The sequence below is a fragment of the Homo sapiens genome, chromosome 2, assembly GCF_000001405.40.
Source record: "Homo sapiens chromosome 2, GRCh38.p14 Primary Assembly".
Classification (NCBI taxonomy): domain Eukaryota; kingdom Metazoa; phylum Chordata; class Mammalia; order Primates; family Hominidae; genus Homo; species Homo sapiens.
This window is the reverse complement of record NC_000002.12, coordinates 214,574,068-214,580,067: the sequence shown is the minus strand read 5'-3', so window position 1 is coordinate 214,580,067 and position 6,000 is coordinate 214,574,068. Positions and strand designations below refer to the sequence as shown.

Below are 6,000 nucleotides of genomic sequence, written 5' to 3'. Positions count from 1 at the left end.
CAACATGGCGAAACCCTATCTCTACAAAAAAATTAGCCAGGCCTGATATATCTGTAGTCCTAGCTACTTGAGAGGCTGAGGTGGGAGGATCATCTGAGCCAGGGAGGTCAAGGCTGCAGTGAGCTGTAATCGCACCGCTGCACTACAGCCTGTGTGACTGAGTGAGACCCTGTCTCAAAAAAAAAAAAAAAAAAAAAAAAAAGAAAAAAAGACTTAAGGGGGGTAAAGAATAAAGGAAGTATTATACGGAGGGCATTATATTAAGTGAAATAAGCCATACCAGAATGAAAACTACTGCATGATCTCACTGTTATATGCAAGCTTATTAGATTCTTGATTTGTAATTTAGGAATAATATTACCTCTTTAAAGGGGTTGCATGAGAATTAAGTGTGATGATATAAGTAAATTTCAAGTCATAGTCTCTGGCATGTAAGCGTTAAATGAACTGTAGGTAGTAGCATTGGTTATTTAATAAACATTTGTTGGATTGTTAAAAAAATTCACAAAATCTTGATCACTGTTGAATCTGGGCAATGGGTAAATGGAGGTTCTTGATGCTATTTTCTTTATATATGTTTGAAAACTTTTATAATAAAGAATTCCTGCTTTGCTACTTACTAGCCTGTGACTTTGGGCAAAGCATTTAGCCTCTTTATATTCCGGTTTCCTCAAGAACAAAGCAGAAATGACAAGAGTTCCTCTCTCATAGGTGTGCTGTGTGGATTGAATACAATCCTGTGGGCACAGAGCTTAGTACGGGGCCTGGCTCAGAGCCAGCACTCAATAATTATAGATTATCGTTAGCATAGTATATGGATCTGGGGTCAGGAAAAGACTTTTCCTATCACTTACCCTGTCACTGCTGGCTTATTTGAGCCTCCTCTCGGATCCCCAAGTCAGCAATGCCTTGCGTTATGAAAAATGAAAATGTGTGCAGGCAAATGCAAAAGCTAATGCTTCATTCTAATTGAATACAGCTCTAATGACACATGTACTTTCAAATGATAGAAGTAACCGAGAATTAGTCATTAAATAATGAGGGTAGGGAGAAAGGAGAAATGTGGGAAGGAAAATATACCACAAACAATGTTTGCTGGTTAACACACTTTATATTTAACAAAATAATTTTTTAATAATATATTCTTTTACACATCAAATATTGTTGCTAGAATCCCCTTTTTACAGTTTAGTGTTTAGGTTTTTTTTTTTTCTCACTAGTTTTCAGGCACGCCATTTTTCAAAGATTTTAGAAACTGAATCGTTTTTAATAGGCATCAGCTGACAAACAAGATGTTGATCCCTTATTTTAACATAGCTGTTGTTAAAGCCGAGAACCAAAGGCGGAGGAGAAATAGGAGTACAGAGATGACAGTGTGGCTGCAAACAAAGACTTCACAAGAAACAAACAACAGATGAGACCAGAGCTCTGTTGTTCAGAGTCTGGAAAGAATTTCTCAATGACCTGGGTAGAAGGAAGTTGTAAAATGTTTATCAGTTTATGAGAAATTGTCACAGTATAGGTTCATCTCTCCCTAAAGGGGGAAAAATGTCAGTGCTACAAAATCTTAAAGGAAACAGCCTGCAGTGAAACTTTGAGAAAAAGAAAATCCAACAACAACAAAACCAACCATAAAAATCCCTCTCTCTAGCTGGTTATCAGAGGCCACAGAACAGCCTGCTTTCTGCAAACTCTCTGAAGAGAGATCCTTAATGGATGTCCCATTCAATTCTAGTAAATTCTTGCTGTGACTCTCGCTGTGCCAATGCTTTGATGCAAAATTTCTGCACTTCAGCTTCCCAGTTGTACTCTCTTTCTGTTTTCTAAAAAAGGACATAGTAACTCCTTAATAATAGATAAGGTACTATGCTGCATGGCTCTATTAATGATATTTTCTGAGTTTCAAACCTTATTCCTGTCATTTATTATTATTATTTCTTTCCAAGAGTGTGGATTTTTGAAGTTGGCAACAGGCAACCTCGGGGCAAAGAAAGCTCTATAATACATCTCTGTCTAGACATAAGCTAAAGTGTGGAATTCCTTTACTTTTGAGTGCAGACATAAATCATGCAGCATTGCTCATGAATGATTCATGACTGTCTATATGATGTATCCATGGTGGCAAATGAAAGGCACCAACCTTGCTGCAAATTGGTGTTCTAAGGGAAGGTGGCTTGATGCTCTTCCTCGGGATGGTGCCGGCATGGCTATTTGTATCATAACGCAAGCACAGTGTGCATAAGAATGTCAGGTCTGACTCGTCAGCACGTTAATTTTGGAAATGACAACTCTTTCTTGATGACAGCAGATGCTTCCAGGGAGGAGAGGCTGACAATTTTAAATGAAAAACCAGTTGACAAGACTCAAAAAAATATGTTTCCTGAGGGTGGGCCTATAGCATTAGAAGCCTCACTCTCTATGGAGAAGACTGACCCCTTGGAAATGCTGACTGTGTATGTCCCATAGGGATCAGAAGCTCACAAAAGCCACAGGTGCTGCTAGAGCTTGCCTACTGTGTCCCCTGCCAGAAACCACTCTATACTGATTATTCTAGACCACTGGTTCTCAACGAGGTGAAATTAGGCCCCTCACTCCCACTCCTTAGGGACATTAGGCAATGTCTGGAGAAATTTGGTTGTCACCAGTTGCTGGGATGTTGCTAGTGGATAGAGGCCAGTGATGGTGCTAAACATCCTAAAAGCACACAGGACAGCCCCCACCAACGAATAATGATCTGGCCCCAAATGTCAATCCTACTAAGATTGAGACACCTTGCTCTAGAATATGGCTCTCCACAGGAGCTATGGCAAAGCCCAGGTTGGGGGAGCAGAAAAAGAAAGAACATTGATAATAAAGACAACTGTAAAGTCTCTTCAAGGACCCTATCAGATCTGTGCCAGGGTTTTTAGGGCAGGAGCATGGAATAAGCGACTAACTATGCCATGTGGTTTCAGAATTGTTAATTTTGCACTTGAATCGAGGTGGCATCAGATACCCTGTGTGTTTTGTTTTTTCTGTTACTATACTAGCAGCATTACCAGGGCAACCTAGAGACTCTTCAAAGGTTCACTTTAATTTTTCAGTATCTAATATATACATTTTAAAAAATGTTCAACAAATGGAATTGTATTGTGCAAGACTCACTCTACCCTAATCTTTAATTTAAATCAGCACTTGAGGTGGAAAGGGTGTCCTGAATCTGTGTTTCAGACATAGGGCTGAGTGGTTGTTACTACAACATGGCAAACACAGTCCCGAACCACAAAAACTGCCAGTGTGTACTACTGACTTTTAGCCAAATCTGAACTCAAAAGCCAGAGATGTTCATAAGGATTTGGATTCACAGTGGGTTTTCTCACCCTGGTTCTGGTATTTATATTGCCTGATGACAGTGAGTTTAGAGTGTGTTTAGCTACAAACCAAACTCAAATTTCACATCATGAAAAAGTCTGATGATTAATGCTACAATTTTAAAGATCTGTCTCTCTTTGGATTCTTTAGTTGAGCTTATGGTGTTCTTTACGTAATAGATTTTGATTGGCAGTTTCGAGGTTTTCCATATGAAATGTGTGGTTTGTAAGAATTAAATTGTGAGCCCCCACGTAATGGACAAAGTACTTGTTCCCAACCCTGTCCAGCAATAGGCCCGTCTATGTGCCCACCCCTCTTTCCTTAGTCTACAGGGCATGATTCACCCTAGGGGAGCAATTGACTGGATGCTCTTGTGTTTCCCAGCTCGGGAAAGATATTTCCCCTGACATTCCTTTACCAAACTTTTTTTTTTACACAACTCAAAACTTTACTGTGCAGTCAAATTTAGCCCCTTAGACTCTAAAAGTGAAAAAACAAATATTACAGGAGAACAATGCCATGTACAATGTACAGAAGAGTAAAAATGAAGTAAACCAGGGGACAGTGAGCTGGTAGGTCAGAGGCATTACCAGGGAAGGAGCCTGTGCAAGGCTATTTCTTTCTTTTTGTTCCAGCAATCCAGTCGTCAAGTCACCATCAAGCATTGGTAAATACAAAAGCGATTTAGATAGCTATATACTATATATATTTTATATAGCAAGAGAGAAAGAAATTTCCTCTTAGGAAAATATTCACTTTTGTCAACCCTAGAAAGTTTTGCTGGTGACCCTGTTGTAGCTGGCAGGAGTTTGTTTGTTTTGTTTTGTGTTAAACATGTGCAGTGTTGAAGCCATAGCATCCTTTCCTAAGAACTCATCATTGGGTGGAAGTTTGTCCTACACAGTCTGCTTGCCTTGGCATTCACGTTTCGAACACTGAGCAGGCTTCCACCAGTCCCCGTTGTGACAATGACAGATGTTACATTCGTCCACTTTCACTTCAATGCCAGCTGGAATTATCGTCGTTCCTGCAAAGCAGTTTGGACCTGAAACACACAGATACATTGATTAGTTGATTAAATCTGAGAGGCTCCCTTTCTCCCCACCATCCAAACCCAAGCCCCAAAGCCATAAATGAGTAAGTCAGACTACTCTACTGACTTATCATCAAGGAATTTTCTAGCCATCTCCTTGAAATTCAAAGTTGCAACTCTGCTACCTTTTGCACACAGCTCATATTTCCCGTGTATATTGTGAACTTAAATAAAAAGAGACAATCTTCAAAAAAAATCGTATTTTCTGCTTCCTGAGTACATGCAGTTTTCTAAATTTAGGTTCTGTGGGTTAAACTGTATTTGTTTTGTCCTCTGAGGTGTAAAGGCTGCCAGCGTATGCTCTGAAACACGAGGGAGGGCTGACATGGTCGGCCTCAGATGGTGGCACCCTTGGCCTGTCCTTCTCTTTTCCTGTGGTGGGTATGAGACAATAAACTCGCTCGTTCCCCAGTTTCAGTGCCTCCCCAGCCCAGTTCCTGGAATCCCCAGCTTGTTTCTTGATAACAATGAATAATTCATGACCAGATGATTTATTCATGTCCTGAACAAGCTTTGTTAGAGGTTCATTTGATTTTTATAAATGGACTTCCTTTAATCTGCTGGCTCTTTTTTTTTTTTTTTTTTTTTTAAAGAATGACCCAAAATAGTGGGCTTTTGAAAGTCAGCAGGAATTTTATTTTACTTTTTGACATTCAAAAGCCTTATTGAAAATGTCCCCTGCTCATTATAGATGAATGTTGAAAAAATTCACCAATTTCAGGTTTTTAAAAATTTTTTCTGTCTTTCCCTCCTTTTTCTTACTTTCCCCTTATTTTCTTGCATTTTTTGACCTTCCCAACGTAGGAATATCAGTGTTCAGTGTTAGTTGTTATTACTATAGTTCCCAAATTCAAATGGAAAAAAAAATTGCTTCCCAAAGTGCACTGGATTATAGTAGGATGGTACAAATTGTTCTTTCTTTGAAGCAATTTGGTATTAAGTCTCTGAGGTACACATTTGGGTAAAGAGAGAGAATGTTGAGTTGTGTCTACCAGTGATTTATTAACCTGGCATTATTGGCCACTCACCATAACCACTACAAAGTAACATGGCAATGCATATCAGTATCAGTGCCCTACTTTCACTTTCTTACCCCCTTGATAAGCAAGACTGTCTTTACCATCAAATAAATGAAATCTGGGGCTATGTGTAGTTCCGCTTCATATTTGGAGTCTTGCTTTTTATAAAATTATAATTAATTACAACATATACTTATCAACACAAGGCTATTCAATATGTTATGGTTTTAATTGCCCATTGTTTCAGAGCTCCCAGACCTCAATAGTGCATACACTTACCAGTGGTGGAGTTCCTATGCCTTTCTTCACTCTGTAACACAAACACTTGGCATGTGCTCAAGCGTGAAGAGCCATGCAGAGCAGGAGGGAAATAAGGGTCAGCTCTGACAAACAGCTAGCAAGCTGTCAGCCTTCACCCAGAAGGGTGCTTCTTGTTCATTTTGTTGTTGTTGTTATTGTTTTTGAGATGGAGTCTCACTCTGTCACCTAGACTGGAGTGCAGTGGCGCAATCTTGGCTCACTGCAACTTCTGCCTCC

General features: G+C 39.5%; 1 protein-coding gene across 3 annotated transcripts in view; it reads right to left on the bottom strand.

Annotated features, from left to right (window-relative positions):
• Positions 1–1,091: 1,091 nt before the first annotated feature.
• VWC2L (von Willebrand factor C domain containing 2 like) overlaps positions 1,092–6,000 on the bottom strand; it is a 167,923-nt gene continuing 163,014 nt past the window's right edge. For all 3 annotated transcript variants that reach the window (NR_159945.1, NM_001080500.4, NM_001345929.2), the window contains one exon: positions 1,092–4,396. Coding sequence is in view for 2 of the 3 variants with exons in the window: in NM_001080500.4 (NP_001073969.1) it covers positions 4,248–4,396 (149 nt within the window). In the remaining variant the exon portion in view is untranslated. The remainder of the gene's footprint in view (positions 4,397–6,000) is intronic.